This window comes from Homo sapiens, chromosome 5 (assembly GCF_000001405.40).
Source record: "Homo sapiens chromosome 5, GRCh38.p14 Primary Assembly".
Taxonomy (NCBI): domain Eukaryota; kingdom Metazoa; phylum Chordata; class Mammalia; order Primates; family Hominidae; genus Homo; species Homo sapiens.
In genome coordinates, this window is record NC_000005.10 from 176,847,162 (window position 1) to 176,864,234 (window position 17,073).

Sequence of the window (17,073 nt, forward strand, 5' to 3'; positions counted from 1 at the left end):
CTCCATGCCCGACGGCTGGAGCCAGGCCCTGGTGGTCTTCGCTGATGAAAGGATGCTTGGATGAAAATGCCCCGTTCCCATCCAGCGCGTGACTCTGGGATGGGCATTTGGGAGAGAGACAGGGCTGGCCTCTGGGACTGATGGGAGAGCCGGGCTTGGCGTTGTGCACACGCATGTGGTCCGGCTGGCTGACCCCGCCCTCCCTCCAGGGCCTCCCTTCTATGGGGACGCCTCCTGGGAACAGGCTGCCGAGGCGGGGGGGCCCTCAGCATCCTCTGGCTTTCCTCAATTCATTAAGACCTGTAAATTTTCTCATTAATATACTTAAAGTTCGTTTTAAGGGGAACAAGCGCAGAGATAATTGATAATAAACCCTCAGTTAATGCCCTTGGTTTGCTGTATATAATTTATATCCACTGGTAGCCTCTCTCACTCCCAATTACCCGTTTAGCTGCAGCGATAACAGCAGTTCAATCAGACCGATCCCAACTTTTACATATTCCAGCCCGATAGCCATAAATACCCACACAGAGAGACTCGGGGGGGCCCACAGTATATTTTTATTAAGATTTAAATATTCATGCAATTATTAGTGATTTATTAAGAGCCAATGACCCCTTCAAGAGCCCCTAAATCTTCACCCAAAGAGGCCCCTGGCCCTCCCCTCCCCCCGTGTCCCCCTTCCTCTTTACCCTCCCCCGCCAAAACCAGAGAAATGGGCCTGCCCTTCCACAGCCCAGATGACATGGAAGCAGCGCCTGCGTTTCCATGGTAACAGCAGGCAGGTGAGGCGGAGGCCCAGGATGGAGGTCAGGCCCAGGGAAGGGCTGGGCTTCTTGAGGGCGGAGGCTCCTGCTGCCTTCCCACACCAGACCTGGGGGGGCAAGAGGAAGAGGAGGCATCCAGCAGCCCCTCCAGGCCCCTACTGACCAGCTGACCAGCAGCCCCCACGCTGCGGCCTCCTCCAGGCTGGTTTCCTAGAGCACCCCTCCCCGCCTCATTTCCACGTTAGCACCACCGCCCCCCGCACCCAGATCCCTCCGCCCCTCAGCCTGGTGTGACATCCTTTAGGGACCCTTGGGGAGGGGGTACCCCAGCTTCTCTCTCCCCTGCTACCCCAAAGCACAAGAGGGTGTGCAGGGATCTGAGGCCCTGGGACTCAGGGCCCAGACAGGGCAGCGGCTCATCTGAGGCTGCATAGTGACACTGAGGCCACCCCTCTCTTTCCTCCATGTTCCTCCAAGACCCTAGAGCCCATTAAAGGGGCAGGAAAGATAATGAACAAATGAGGAAAACATGAAATCAATACCAGGAGAAAAAAGTATGGCTGTCATTAAGTGAAGTAAACAAGCTGGTAATTATTTGGACAGTGGGTAATTAAAACGGGGTGAGGGCTCATTCCTGTCTCATCAGGGGTGTGATGGGAGCGGCCAGACACCCTATTCCCAGATGGAAGGTGGCAGCAGGGCCCAGGCTCCTTCCCGCCCAAATTTGGAATAGGAAGGCTGGTGTCTCAGGGGTCCCCTCTCTGGAGTCCCCCACCTGGACTCGCCTGTGCCGCTGGTTGCAGGAGGCTTCAGCTGCCTCACCCAGGGGCAGGAGCTGAGGCTCAGACCACGGGCACACAAGATGGGCAGCCGCGGCCTGGGCCCTGCGCGTCTCGGGATTGCAGCTTCTCCCCTCTCGGCCTCTGGAAGGGACAGTGCCCTCAGGCCTCAGCTGAGAGGACACCTGGTGCTGACAGGTACATCCTGCTACCCGCCCAGGTACCTGGGGCAATGGACAGCCGACCTCTCCGCCTCTGTCCAGGCCCAGGGGCCTTCTTTTGGGGGCTCTGATGAGGAGGGTTCCCAGGAATGAGGGGGTGCTGGCAAGGGCAGGAAGAGCGGGGCAGAGACTGGGAGGGCACAGCAGGGACAGGGCTGGAGTGTGGCGGCAGCGGGGGTTCCCTTGCCTTGCTGTGACCCTGACTGGTAAAGTCGGAAGAGGCCTTGGACACTGCCCAGTCTGGCTTTGCCCTGCCGACTTGTTTGGCCCACGGAGTGTTTAAAGTGTTTAAATTAGTTGTCAATATTTTTAAATGGGAGGTTTCACATAAAAATAGATTTCCAGCTTCCCTTGGGGAAAAAAAAATCAGTGCAGGCTGGGCGCAGTGGCTCACGCCTGTAATCCCAGCACTTTGGGAGGCCAAGGCAGGTGGATCACCTGAGGTCAGGAGTTCAAGACCAGCCTGGCCAACATGGTGAAACCCCGTCTCTACTAAAAATACAAAAATTACCTGGGTGTTGTGGCATGCACCCATAATCCCAGCTACTTGGGAGGCTGAGGCAGGAAAATCCCTTCAACCAGGGAAGTGGAGGTTGCAGTGAGCCAAGATCACGCCATTGCTCTCCAGCCTGGGCAACTGCGTCTCAAAAAATTAAAAAAATGGTGCACCTCTCATCTGGCCTGCCCCCTTGGATGGACACTGTCACTGTCCACTTTTCCCAGCCCCACCCAGCCCCTGAAGGCACTGAACTTGCCACCTCTCACTCAGTCCTACATCTCCTGAGGTCCAGAGAGGGAAGTGGCTTGCCCAAGGCCACGTGGCCAGGTGGAGGCAGAGTGGGGGCTGGGGACTCAACCTCCTGATGCCCAACTGAGGGCTGTGCCCCAGCCCCCAGCAAGTACATACCCTGGGCCAGTTGCCAGCAGGGACAGAGATGACACCCTACTGCCCACTCTTGGAGCTTGTGGCAAGTTGAGGAGACATTTCAACTCTGCCACCATCACTGGCCCCCGACTTGCCAGCCCCTGAGCTGGACACTGCTGAGAAGAGTTGGCTCCCACCTGCTGTGTGCACTGGAGGGTGCACAGGCTGACAGCGGAGGCAGGTGCCTGCACAGCCAGCCCTGCGTCAGCAGGATCATGGGAGGCCGAGGAGCAAGCCATGCAGCCCCACGTCCCCCAGTCCCTGCCACACCAGCCCAGAGGAGGCAACATCTTTAATTTTGAATGAACAGGGCTGAGTGCATTGGTAGTAGGTGGGGTGCCCTGCAGGTTTAGGAGGAAGTCGGGGTGTGAGCCCTAACTTTAATACATGCACCTGGCTGAGCTGACTGCAGGGTATGGGTTGGTGACCAGGGATGGGACTGCTGTGTTAGTTGTATGGGAACCATTGCAGGGGTTTGAAGTGTGAGATCGGATTCTCTTTCTAGAAATAGCGAGGTTGAGGACGGCACTGAGCTAGGAGGTAGCCAAGGGAAGGCACACTTTGGGTGGTGGGGCCGGGGGTGGAGGCTGGATGAGTTAGGTGGCCACGAGGGAGGAAAGGAGGGAGGCTTCCTGGGAGGTGGGGGCCCTGCTGACTGCAAGAGGCAGAAGGAGAGTCGGGATGGCGCAGGCAGCGAGGGTGGGCGGGGAGCCTGGCTAGGGACCCCGGGGCAGGAGCTGATGGGGGCCACAGAAGCGGGGCCTCAGGAGAGCCGAGCCCGGGAAGCCGTTTGCAGCTTCAAGGAGTGGCTGCATGTGCTGGCCTCTGCTGTCGCCCTGGGCTGGTGGGACCCATGAGTGGGAGCTGGGTTTGTCCCTAGGTTACTGGGTTTTCCTGTGGGCCATTGTATGAGGAGGGGTCCAAGCGGGCTCATCTGCTGAGAATGGGAATCAAAGATTGGCTGGTGGCCTGTGGCCTCAGTCACCATCCTAGTGTGGGCAGTGGTGTATGTGCCCACAAATGCTAATGGACCGGGCTGCAGCAGGCATGATTCTGGAGGCTGTGCTCCCAGGACTTCCCAGTGCTCCCAGGACTTTCCAGTGCTCCCAGGACTTCCCAGTGCTCCCAGGACTTCCCAGTGGGGCTGGGGTCCCTGGGCCACCCCATGGGGGCATGGACGTGGGTCCCTCTTGGGCTGTGTTGGCCGGTGCCTAGCACGGTGCCAGGACATGTTGCCAGATGCATGCTCCTGGTTGAGAGCCCGGGGCACTGTAGCCAGCCTGCCTGGGCAGGAACCCATCGCTCTCGACTTACTGTGCCTCTCCATGCCTCAGTTTCTTCATTGGTAATTCAAATTAGTTCCTTGCCTCTTAGAATTGTTGTGAGGGTTAAATAACATCCTGTCAAGTTCACCATGGCTGTCGTTGCTGTGACTGTGTGGGTGCCGTGACGGCTGTGGTTGTGGGCAGTGTCTCCCACCAGCCAAGGGCAGGCGACTGTGTAACCTCCCAAGTGCCTCTGGGCTCTGGTCCCCACCTTGCACAACCTGAGCTGCTGCCACTCCTGGACCACCCCGGCCCCAGCTCTGGCGGGGCACACATTAAACCAGTGAGATATGAAATGCCGCCATATGTGGGACAGGGTCTTTAATTAAATTAATTGCCAGCAACATTGTAAAAATGCTGACGGGGCCATAAATGGTGTAGGCCACGCTGTTCATCATCCCCGCGCCGGGGCCACACCTGGGCTGGGGGCGGGGCTGGCCATGGCGGGCTGCAGCCTCTGAGGGAGCTCTGTGCACCCCCCTCGGGTGGCCCCCGGAGAGGGGAGGGGAGCATGGGGGCAGGAGGCAGGGGAAGAATGTACTGTCAGGAGGGGCTGCAGAGTGGCACTCCTAGTTGGGGCAGCTCCTGACTTTCCAGCTGGCCTGTCTTGAGGGGCAACTGTGGAACAGGTGCACTGTCCTTACTCGGCCTTATGGTGCGTGTGCCTGGGGAAGAACCCGGATGGAAATGGGGAGGGTGCCCCCAGAGCTACTCTAAGTAGAGTTACCTCCATCCGTGGGCAGTCGGGTGATCTGCCCCGGCTCTGCCATGGTCGCTGTGTGTCCTTGAGCTAGTCATCCCGTCTCTGAACTCATTTCCTCATTAGGAAGACAGAAGGACCCTACCCACCTGCCTGCCTCTGTCGTGTTCCCAGCGCCCTGCCGGCTACCCTCTCTTGGCCTCTCGCCTTTTGGGGAGCTGTGCCAGGAATTCTTTATGTCTCTCTCAGCCGGGGCTGCCACAGGCCTTGCCAGGGCTCAGAGCCTGCCTACCGCCCCTACTGCTTGTGAGGCAGCTGGGCCGGCCACCTGCCTCTGCCAGGTGAGAGGTGAGGGAGGCTCACACACACTCACACACACCACACACACAGAAACACACATACACCACACAGAAACACTACATACACCACACAGAAACACACACATATCACACACAGAAACACACACAGAAACACATACACACCCCACACACAGAAGCACACACACACACACACTACAGCTACCAAAGCACAGGCGCCGGCCAAGGATCCCAAGGCAGGAAAGCGCCTTCCTTCCCCAGTTTTCCCTGGGCCGTGTGACCACATAATTACCCTGGATTCCATTCTATTTAATTGCAGCTTATTAAGTTCTAACCAGCCAATTATCAGCCACAATTACAGCTTAATTCAGGGACACAATAGCTATTTTATCATTTGTTAATCAAATGCTTATTTAGACCTCAGCTTTATTAACTATTTCTCTGGCCTGAGGCGAGGCCCCTCAGCAGGAAGGGGCCCTTGGTTGGGGCCATAGGAGCCCGTCCCCCCATCACAGCACTCCCCCCGGGAGTTTCTGAGTTCCCTTTGCGGTGGGTTCAGGTACTTAGCGATGGCAACAGTGTCACACTAAGTGTGGGAAGGCCCAAGCCAGTTCACTCTGCGTTTGCGACATCTTGGCTCAGCTCCTGCCCAGTGCTAGGCCCTGTGCCTGGTGCTGGGACCGGTGGCAAGACAGATGTGGTCCTGCTGTTGTGACATGTTTTACGGAAGAGTAACCAAGTACACAAACAAGATGACCTCAGGTGGTGGCAGGCGTGAGGAGGAAAACAGACTGGGAAAGGGGAGGGAGAGGAAGAGCTCCTTCACACAGGCCAGGTCCTCGGTGACAGTGACTCCGCGGGAGCAGAGATGGGACGGGTTAGAGCAGGCAGCTGTGGGAAGATCGGAGGCAGCGTGTGCGGGCACGACAAGTGCAAAGGCCCTGCAGTGGGGTGAGTGCAGAGCATTTGAGAACAGATACAGGAGCCCTGCCCCACTCCTGGCCCCGGCCATTTGGCTAAAGTCCTTGGTGGGTTGTACCACCTTAGGAAAGGCCTGAGCCTCACGTTCCTTGTCTGTACAACCAGAGGCAGGAAGAAGGAGCCTGTGAGCAGTGGCCGGGGCGGAGGACAGGCCTGGTCTGCAGGAGCTGGCGGGCAAGGGACCAGCGGTGCCCCTGCCCAGAGTAGTCATCCTCTGAGATGGGAGCGGTGCCGCCCCCGCCCTGCCCCTTTGTTCTTTGTGGTTCAGCCTGTCTGCATGTCCTCCTCGTGACTCCTGTGTCCGTCCTTGTGACCAGGCCCCTGGAGCCCACTGGGGAAGAGGGTGACTTTCCTCCGATCTCGGGGAGGTGGCTGCTGCTTCAGTGACACCTTCATGCACACGTTACTATGGAAACCAGAGTGCCGTGCTTGCCTGTATGTGAGCGTAGGTCGGGGGAGCAGCCCTCCCTTCCAAGGAGCACTGAGAGGGACTGTCACCCCCATCCAGTCACCTCCACATCCGGCACGCTCCTAGACAGGAGACACTGCCCTCTCCCCACCTTCGTGCATTCACCACACACTGGGCATGGGCCCTGGGACTCTGGGCTCAGACCTGTCCCTGCCGTCCAGGGAGTCCTGTGCTATTGGGGGTGACTGCTAGGGCGACAGAGGATGGACAGAGGGATGGACCAAGGGGACGGGAAGGGGAAGAAGAGAAGCAAGTCCTGGGGTGGACTGCACTCCCGAAAAACCTCATCCGCTATTTGCCCGTTTCACAAATGAGAACAATGAGGCTCTAGAAATAGGCGGTTCGCACAAGGGGCTGCAGTGGGGTCAAATAAGGCCAGGGAAGCAGCTGGCAGGCTGTACAGAGGTTTTTTATGTTTTGGCTTTGAAAGAATTCAGAGGCGTGCACCCCAGCTTGCTGCTGGCTGCATGGCACCCCGTTGTTACCTCCAGGCAGGTTCATACCTGAGTTGCCACCTGGACTCTCATGGCTCTTACTGTGCCACCCAGATCTGTAGTCTCCGGTAGAGATTGAAACCCAGGTCATGGAACCTGCCACTCCCCACCTTGCCCTCCTCACCACAGGTGCTGTCTCTGTCCCTGTCTCTGTCTCTCTCTGTCTCTCTAACAGCAAGTGCGGAACGTGTCCCTGCTTATCAGAGCCCCCTAGTGAAGCTCCCTCTTCACAGAACTGTGTATGTTTAAAAAGTAATAACTCATGCCGCCATCTCAGGCCGCAGGGATGCAGGTGGCAGGGAGTGCTCAGCCCCACTCCCCTGCGTGTCTGCAAGCCCGGCTGAGCCACACTGGGCTCCTGCTCCCCCTGCCCCCTGCCGCTGTGCCCCCTGGCTCCCTGACCCCTCTGCTTCCCCAGGGTCCAGCACTGGCATTTGAAGAACCTGGTTCCCTTCCCATTGAACTGAGGGGTTCATTGGTTGATTGGAAGGTAAGCAGAGCTGGCTCCCAGCCAGATTTGAGTTTCCCTCCTCCACTTCTAGCCCTTCGTTCCTGGGCTCTTGTCCCATTGCTGGGAATGATGTTCCACATTCATTCCACAAAAACTCTCTGGCTGTATGTCAGGTCCTGACCAGGCTGTGGGGATGGGTGGTCCCTGCCCTCAAGGCCCTGACAATTTATATGGGAAGACACATGCATAAATGGTGACAATATGATATTCAAGGCACTGGGGTGACTTCGGTAAGGGACTGTGGGAGCTCAGACTGGGGTCAGGGCAGGCTTCCTGGAGGAGGGGGTGTTTGAGCAGACCTTGAAGAATGAGTAGTGGTCACCCAGGCAGACAGCAGATGGGCAGGTGGACCAATGAGATGGAAAGATCCTGACTCCAACTAGCTTCAGCCAAAAAAAGGAATGTACTGGCTCATGCTCTGGGAATCCAGAGCTAGCTGTGCCTCCAGGTCCATGGGACCCCAGGCCTCTGATGCTGGCAGGAGGAGCTGGCCTCTCCCTTGCACTGGTTGTCTCCACTCTTCAAGCTCTTGCTTCAGACCTGTGAATAGCCTGCCTTTACCCTCAGCCTTACGAAGGCCTACAATGCCTGCAGGACTGGCCCTTCCCTGTGAGGGCCCCCGGCAACTCCAGGGCTCCATGCCCACGGCTCCAAGCTCAGCACAGGGAGAGGGTCTCCCTTCCCAAAAACCCGACCAAGATGCTGGAATCCCGTCTATTGGACGGGGCGGCCTGCAAGTCCTTCTGGGAACCATTGGTGGGGATGGGAGAGGGGGAGCGTGCCCACCTCTGGGTCCACAGATAGGGTCAGCCCCTGGACCACGTGGCCTGCATGGTGGGAGGAGTTGAGGGGAAGGCATTCTTTAAAGAAAATCAGGCACTGTCAGCCAGAAAGTGAGAGGGAGGCAGAAACTGGGACAGAACACGCAGAACCCCTGAGAATTGCACGTGGCGAAGACGCCGCCGGTGTGGAGGGATCCCTAGAGGCGAGGCCAGCAGGGCCTCAAATGCCAGCCAGAGGCACAAGTGGCACGTCATCCTGTGGCACTCCCCATGCCCGGACATCCGAGCACCTGTAGAGCGGGGAACCCAGGCCCTGGTGGACCTACTGGGGGCAAACCTCCATGGGGAGGCTGCCCAGGGGCTCCCCAAGGCCTGCTGGGCACCAGCATCCAGGGCTCAGGGGTGCAATGCTGGCTGCTGTGCCCCAGCCTCCTCCTCCACCCCATTTCACATCCAGAACAGCTCTCAGGGAAGCAGAGGAAGGGGCTGCCACCCTGGCCCCTCGCTGTGTTCCTCAACCGCGCCGTGTGGTCTGCAGGGCGGACGGCGCCCGCCACCAGGCCGCTGGGAGGATGGAAGGAATGGCGGCAGCCGCCCTGGGGAAGCAGCACCCACCTCTCCCAGCTGAGTGAGGCCGAGTGACGCCCTGTCCCTACCCCTCCCCTGCCCCCAGGGACGGAGGCCTTGCTCAGTATATATGGGTTCATTAATAGCTTGATTAATCACACCTCATATTTTCTGGTGCTTTTAAAAATAAAACATTTGAAAGCACTTTCACACCCACCTTGGGCCTCAGAGTTCCGGGCGAGTCTTATCTCCCAGACTGCAGGTGAGGAAAGGGGCTGAGCCTACAAGAGCAGCATGTGCCAGCGGGTGGCTGGGGGCAGCCTGGAGCCAGGGGCTTCTCCTGCCCGCCACTCCGCCTGTGGGCTGCTCTGCCCTCTCTCTGGGTCTCTCCACAGACCAGGAGTGAAGGGGCCACCCTAGGCAGATCTGAAATTCTAGAGGGAAAAAGCGGTGGTCATTCAGTCACGCAACAAACACTCCATCAGCATCCTGGTGAGACCTGGGCTCCTGCCCCCAGGGAGTTTATGGTCTAACAAGGGAAGTGGCGTACAAACTCACCCTGGTCCTGAAGTGGCATTAACCCAGATGGAGGCTCAGGGGATGGAGCAGGTGCTTTGAGTGACAAAAAGTGTGGATCCAGAAAGGCCTCCAGGAGGAGGCGACAACTTTGCTGACATTTCCCTGGTGGACCAGGTGGAGCAGGTCCACCACAGTCCACACCACTGGATGCCCACAGCAGCCTCCCCACCTCCCCTCTGCCCAGTGCCACCCCTCCCCTCCCACTCCTCACGCAGGGAGAGCACACCACACCCCTGCACATGACCCCCAAGGCTTCCTGTGGCCCTGGCAATGAAATCCCAACTCCTGACTCGACTGTAAAGGCCCCTGGGGTCCAGCCCCTGCTTCCTGTCTGACCAAACACGTCTCGCCCTCACTCACTCTGCCCAGGCCACACTGGCCTCCCTGCTGTCCTCAAACAAGCCCAGCTGCCTCCTGCCTTAGGGCCTCCCCTGTTCCCTTTTCCAAGCACACTCTGTAGCCTGGCCTTGGCATTCAGGGCGCTGCTCAGATGGCACCTGCCTGAGCCCCGCTCCCTCGAGAGCCCTCTCACCCGCCCCTTTCTGAAAGTCTGCCCCTTCTACCTTCTCTGCTGCACTTAGTCCGCCCCTTCTACCTTCTCTGCTGCACTTGGGTTTTGTTTTGCTTTGTTTCCCCAACTTGAAAGCAAGCTTCAGAGACGGGGACTGTGTTGTCTTGCTTGCGCTGGATCCCGGTGCCCGGAACAGTTCCTGGCACACAGCAGGCACTCAATAATTATTTGTTGAATGGATACGTTTCATGTCTTGGAAGAAGGTGGCATCCGTCCCAGGCTCAGTTCAGTCCAAGGCTCCTTGCCCAGGGGTCTCTTGCCTCCCATTGCCACCGGCCCCGGGGACTCATCTGCTTCCCCTCCTTTCTGTAGCTGCCACCCCCGTTGGCCCCCAGCCTCCCTACACACACGCACACACACACACATGCATGCCACACACACATGCGCACACACACACACGCCTTGCCCCTCCTCCTTGCTATTCCTGAGAAGATGTGTGGTTTGGGGGTTGCCCAGTTTGCTGCTCCCACCCTTGCCGAGCAGGGGCACCAGCTCCAGCTGACGTGGGCAGCCAGTTCTCTCCTGAGAGAGGCAGGGCCAGCCAGTGGGCTCTGGGGCTCACCGCAAATGGGGTTCCCACTTCAGGGCTTGAGTCATCCACCCAGCCCTGTCTGACCAAGTCCTGTAGTTCCTGGTGACCAAGCGCCCGTCAGGAATCTGCTAGTCAGTGAATGAGGTCTTCTAACTTAATTCCAAGCGGGCAGCCAGGCCAGGTCACGTCCCTTGCCAGTGGGAAAGCTGTGACATGGCAGAAGGAGCCTCTGGGAAACTAGGGATGAGTGGGGTTTGGGAAGTGGCAGGGCCCATGAAGCTGGTGGGCCCATACCTGCCTGCTGTCCTGCAGGCCCACGAGCCACTGCAACCAAGGTGTGTCCGCCCTGGCAGTGTTCTCACACGCCCGTCCGTCAGTGGCCCCAGAGGCAGCAGCGGTAGGCACCCCACCCCGAGGCCCCAGTTGCTAATGCCCGCATTAAGCAGCCTTGTGCTGCACGGCATGGACCGAGGATGCACAGTCTGGGGGTGGGGACAAAGCCTCCTGCCTGCTTCTCCTGTGACAACAGCTCCAGCACCAGCGAGGACAGGCCCTAGATGCAGAGAGGGTGAGATGGCATGTGTGGTTTCCCAGGAGAGTTGAGGTAGGGGAACCCTCTTTCCAGAGGAGGTGACATTGGAGCTGAGCCCTGGAGAGAAGGTAGGAAAGCACTGGACAAAGAGGAAGGAAGGGAGTTTCAGGCAGAGACCTGGAGGTGGGAAGCTCCTGCCTCGGAGGGATCCATGGGTGTCTCTTCAGAAAAGGGCTGGAGCACTGACTGGGGCCAGAACGTGAGGCTCAGTGATGTCAGTCAAAGGCACTTGGCCCTATTCTGAAACACCCATGGGAGCCAGATGAACAATGGAAATGGGAGAAACAGACCCAGGGTGAGGCAACAGGGAGTGGTGGGGACTACGGCAAACTAGCCAGCTCTCAGGCCCTGTTGAAAGGATCCTAGGTCCTTTGGACTGAGCAGGCACTACCTGGCGTTGTCTTTGATGGACAAGTACATGGAAAGCGAAAGAAAGAAAGAGAGAGAGAGAAGGAAGGAAGGAAGGAAGGAAGGAAGGAAGGAAGGAAGGAAGGAAGGAAGGCAAGCAAGCAGGCAGGGAGGGAGGGAGGGAAGGAAAGAAAGAAAGGAAGGAAGCTCACGCTAGTAGCCTGGGCTGTGCAGTGGGGGAGGCGAGAGGCTCGGCTGTGCCTTCATTCAGGTGAGAGCCCTGACCGGGACACCGAGGGGGGGACAGACAGATCTCAGGTACTGATGGCAAGGATAGAAGTCACACAGTGAGCTCGGGGGCCAGAGGCAGAGAAAGCCAGCCCTGACTGCCCAGGAAGATTCCTGTAGCCCCGAGAGGACGTCCAGTAGCACCTTAATTTACCCCACCCATGCCCTTGCTAGAGGGCATAGCTGCTAGAATGTCCTTGCTAGAGGGCATGGCTGCTAGAATGCCCTTGCTAGAGGGCATAGCTGCTACAATGTCCTTGCTAGAGGGCATGGCTGCTAGAATGCCCTTGCTAGAGGGCATAGCTGCTAGAATGTCCTTGCTAGAGGGCATAGCTGCTAGAATGCCCTTGCTAGAGGGCATAGCTGCTACAATGTCCTTGCTAGAGGGCATGGCTGCTAGAATGCCCTTGCTAGAGGGCATAGCTGCTAGAATGCCCTTGCTAGAGGGCATGGCTGCTAGAATGCCCTTGCTAGAGGGCATAGCTGCTAGAATGTCCTTGCTAGAGGGCATAGCTGCTAGAATGATGTCCTTGCTAGAGGGCATAGCTGCTAGAATGTCCTTGCTAGAGGGCATAGCTGCTAGAATGCCCTTGCTAGAGGGCATAGCTGCTAGAATGTCCTTGCTAGAGGGCATAGCTGCTAGAATGTCCTTGCTAGAGGGCATGGCTGCTAGAATGTCCTTGCTAGAGGGCATGGCTGCTACAATGTCCTTGCTAGAGGGCATGGCTGCTAGAATGCCCTTGCTAGAGGGCATAGCTGCTAGAATGTCCTTGCTAGAGGGCATAGCTGCTAGAATGTCCTTGCTAGAGGGCATAGCTGCTAGAATGATGTCCTTGCTAGAGGGCATAGCTGCTAGAATGTCCTTGCTAGAGGGCATAGCTGCTAGAATGTCCTTGCTAGAGGTCATAGCTGCTAGAATGTCCTTGCTAGAGGGCATAGCTGCAGCCTGGAGGGTGCCCCCTGGGTCCACCGGATAAATGCCCCCCGGGGCCACTGTGGCGTGACAGAGGCCCTGGAGAAGTGAGCTATGCCCCTTATTGGTCACAGTACATTTATTTTTCATTAGCAGTTAAATGCAGACATGAGGGATTGTGCTGGGTTCACCAGGCGGCTGACGCAAGCAGTGCTTGGCGTGCTGATCGATAGGGAGGCTGGAGGGCCGCACACCCCCTCCCTGCCCCCACACGCCCAGCCAGGGACCCCTGCCCACCCAGCTCCCCCGCCAAGAGGCAGGCACAGGCCAGCGCATTGTCTACCTGTTAAGGGATGTGGCACAGGTGGGCCGGGAACCTGCCACTGGGGGGGCTTGGTGACACCTGCCTGCTCCCCAACACCTGCAGGGCTTGCTCTGGCATCCATCTTGGCCTGTCCTCTGCACGGCCTAGGGTCCTCCCAAATGCTGCAGCTTGCCTGGGTGCATGTCTAGAGCGGCCCTCGGGCCAGCAGCACCCATCCCACACCCCCACTCCAGGGTTCACACTCCCCAGCCTCCCAAGACCACCTCCTTCCATTCATTCTCCAGACCGTGGGAGGACCATGTGGGAGCCCAACTCAGCACTGCTCTCCCTGAGCCCACCCCTGGGTCCCACGTCTGGGTCAGGGCTGGCCGGTGGCTGCCAAGTGACCATGGCGAGCACACAGGTGACTGTACACTTGATGAGCCCAGTGTCTCAGCTGGAGGCTCTGGGGTAAGGGACCCCCTCGGGCCTCAGGTTCCCCGTCAATAAGGTGTCTTGGTCCCACCCCCCAGCGTCGCCTGCATTCCGCCACTTCCTGAGCCTACGACAGACCCCAGCAGAGGTGGTTCAGGGTGGGGTGGGTCTGGGTCTGATGACCTTCATTTTCACGACATGTGAACTGCAAGTGTGACCCCGCTTATGAATGCGGGCTTGGTGTCCATAACAGAGCTGCGGAACATGCGGGGGGCAGTTGCCAGTGGGAGGGCACACAAGGGAAAAAGCCAAGCTGGGGAGAGGCCGGAGTCTGGCAGGTGGGCAGGAGGCAGGCAGGGAGGCCAGAGAGTGAGAGGAGGGGCAGGCGCCCAGGGAGGGCCGGCGACCCAGCAGCGGACAAACTGTCCGGCTATGTCCCAAATGCCCTCCACACCCATCTGCCCCTGAGCTCACAAAGACACAGCTGTTGCACCCCTCAGCTCAGCCAGCCTCCCTCTGCCATCCCTAAGGCACCTGCCAGCTCTGTGCCTCAGTTTCCTTGTTGGCTCTCACCCCCTATGAGATTGCTGTGAGGATGACCGAGCTGAGGGGGTGCAGCCCTTTGCTGTGGAACACGCAGAACCGTGGGGGTACCAACAGCAGCCTACGCTCCCTGAGCACTGTGCTGAGTGCCTCACGCCTGTTTCATTTCATCCTCACAACAGCCTTAAGAACTGGGCACCACGCCCCATTTTGCAGGTGAGGAAACAGGTTCAGGATGGGGTGGATGGACCTGCCTGAAGTTGCAGAGGCCCCTGAACCCTCGGTCCGAGCCTGCCCTCCAGGGCGCCTGCAGGAGCTGGTGCACACACCTCCTGCCGTGAAACCAGGGTCCTGGTGAAGGGCGGACTCCCACCCTGGGGAGAGGGTCCCTGCGCAAGCAGGAGCGAAAGGGGCAGTGGGCCAGGCGTATGTGCCCCTCGGTGGGTAGGGTGGGCCCAGGCCTCCCAGTCTGAAGCCCTGGGTGGGTTTTGGATCACCCGTGGGGAGGGTGGAGGAGCCCAGAGGCCATCCATGTGAGGGGCCTGTGGACATCCCCACAGGCAGCTGTCATCTCCATCTCACAGATAGCAAGCCACTCGCTCCCCAAGGTCACCACTAAGATGAGCAGAATAGATGGTCTGGAAACCCAGGGTTTCCCTCTATGCCCAGGGGCTGCAATTGTGAATGCGCATTGGTGGGGGGATCACTGCAGCCCCAGGGAGGCTGAGGACCTGTTCAAAGGGCAGCTGGGGGTTGTGGGAGCTGAGGGTGACCCCCACCCCATCCTCTCAGGGGACCTGCTGGTTGGGCAGGGATCAGACTACTCTGGGGGTTTTACCTCTGCCAGTGCCTCCAAGCCAATTACCTGTGTAATTAGCAACAAATGACTTGTGGGATGGTTGTGGTTTTCAGTTAAAATTAGAAGGAAACCCACATATTCAGGTCTCCTTGAAGGAGGTGGCCCAGGTATCTCAGATTCCCAGACAGACTCCCGGCTCTCGCCTTGCCCGTGCCCACCCCGCATGTTATTTCTGAGCACCTACTATGTGCAGGGCCAGGGATGGGGCCAACCAGGAAGCAGGGCCCCAGAGGCGGCCACTGGCCAGGGCTGCTCCCTCCCTCGCCCCAGGCAGCTCACCTGCCTGGCCAGGGACCTTCTCACCTTGGCCAGCCTTGCCCTGGACCTCCCGGGCAGGGGCCTGCCTGGCCAGATCCCTGGACTTCTAGGAAGGCAGTCGCCAGGCCACCTCGGTGCTGGGACTCCGCCCAGGTCTCATTTCACCTCACCACGGTCTTCAGGATGGCATGGGCTGCTCCTTCCCTGCTTGTACAGAGGAGGACATGGAGGCCCGGGTGGGGGATGGTCATTGGCCTGAGATTGCCCAGCTGGGACATGGCAGAGCCTGGACTCACTCTCCTCCCATCTGCCCCAACCCACGGTGGAATCGTTTGCTGAGCCGCTGCCTCTACCCTGCCCAGTCTGGCCCCTGGCTCACCTTCCCCCTCTGCCCTGCCGCAGGTGCCCAGCAGAGTGCCACCGTGGCCAACCCAGTGCCTGGTGCCAACCCGGACCTGCTTCCCCACTTCCTGGTGGAGCCCGAGGATGTGTACATCGTCAAGAACAAGCCAGTGCTGCTTGTGTGCAAGGCCGTGCCCGCCACGCAGATCTTCTTCAAGTGCAACGGGGAGTGGGTGCGCCAGGTGGACCACGTGATCGAGCGCAGCACAGACGGGAGCAGTGGTGAGCCGCATGGGGCGCCAGGCAGGGCCAATCCGGGGGAGGCGAGTTTCGGCCCCCCCAGAGGAGCCTGCAGCTGCCCCCAGGATTCCCCACCTGGGACCCCGGAGGCCTTCCCCAGAGGCCACAACCCTCAGCAGTTTGGGGAGAAGGAGGGGGAGAGAGGGGGTCCCTGATGACCAAGGAGCTCCCAGACCTCACATTCAGTGATTGTTTTCTTTGTGCGTCGGTTCATTCGATCAGTCAGGCATTCACTCACACCTGTGAGCACCCACTCCCGTGCTGGGGACAGCCCGCCACCCTCGGAGCCCAAGTTCCCACAGAGAGGCAGACAGCGGGGTGACCTCTCAGCAGGGAGAGAGGCCCCTCAGGGGAGGTGATGTGTTAACTGAGAGAGGCATAAGAACCGGTTAGGGAGTGCAGAAGGGGGAAGTGCATCCCAGGCAGGGGACACAGCCCAGGAAAGCCTGGAGGCAGACGCCGGCATGCCGGTGGTGGGGTCAGCAGTGAGGGTGAGGGTGTGCAGGGGACCAAACTGATGCCACTGTCTTAGGGGATCTCAAGCTGCAGAGCGACATGGCCAGAGCTATATGTGATTCAGGGGCCAGAGTTGGGGCTGATGGAAGCAGCAGGTCTGGAGACACTGAGCAGAGGGGGCCAGCCAGACTCAGCTGGGGGCACAGAGAGAGAGGTTCTAGGGGCAGCGAGCAGACCCAGGAAGCACCTCTTCCATGAGACACCACATTCCCCACCCCCAGCCCTGGCCTTAAGTGGCACTGGGGACGTGGGCAGACAGCCCTTGTCTGGGTTCCGCAACTCCCCCAGAAAGGACTGGCAGAGAGAGAGGCAGGAGCAAACAACAGCTTCTCCTCCTCCCCCTCCTCCCCCTTTTCCCCCTCCCTCTCCTCCTCCCTCCCCTCCTCCCCCTCCCCTCCTCCTTCTTTACCCCCTTCTTCCCTCCTTCCCCTCCTCCCCCTCCTCCTCCTCCCCCTCCTCCTCCCCTCCCCCACTCCTCTCCTACCTTTCCTCCTCCTCCTCACTCATTAGAGCCTGTTTCAGTTTCCTCTCCCTTGGTGCTTTGTGGAGCACCCCACGCATAATGACACCTCAGGGGTAGTCCTGAGCCCCCTCCCACCAAGGCCTCAGCCATCCTGAGACACAGCACACATACCCTGTCGAGGCACAGCCCGTGCGGGACACACAGGCCATTGCCGTGAGGCTCAAGCCACAGTGCAGCTGGGACAAGCAGGTGTCACCCAGGACTCCCACTGATGCCAAGGGCAGGCCGGGGACCTTGGGCCTAGAGAGGTGGCCCAGGAAGGATTCCCAGCGGAGGAGGAACATCCAAGCTCAGGTCTCAAAACCACCTGGAAAGGGCATCTCCCAGGCCTG

General features: G+C 59.0%; 1 protein-coding gene across 5 annotated transcripts in view, besides 1 other annotated feature; it reads left to right on the forward strand.

The window, feature by feature from the left end:
- UNC5A (unc-5 netrin receptor A) overlaps positions 1-17,073 on the forward strand; it is a 70,340-nt gene that overhangs the window by 36,603 nt on the left and 16,664 nt on the right. For all 5 annotated transcript variants that reach the window (XM_006714928.2, NM_133369.3, XM_011534686.2 and 2 more), the window contains exon 2: positions 15,463-15,684. In XM_006714928.2, coding sequence (XP_006714991.1) covers positions 15,463-15,684 — 222 coding nt within the window. The remainder of the gene's footprint in view (positions 1-15,462; positions 15,685-17,073) is intronic.
- Positions 10,351-10,852: an enhancer, noted in NCBI's record as "H3K4me1 hESC enhancer chr5:176284513-176285014 (GRCh37/hg19 assembly coordinates)". NCBI's record gives its function as "activates a minimal SCP1, AML or CMV promoter by ChIP-STARR-seq in naive H9 embryonic stem cells {active_cell/tissue: H9 hESC(naive)}" and the evidence as "EXISTENCE:reporter gene assay evidence [ECO:0000049][PMID:30033119]".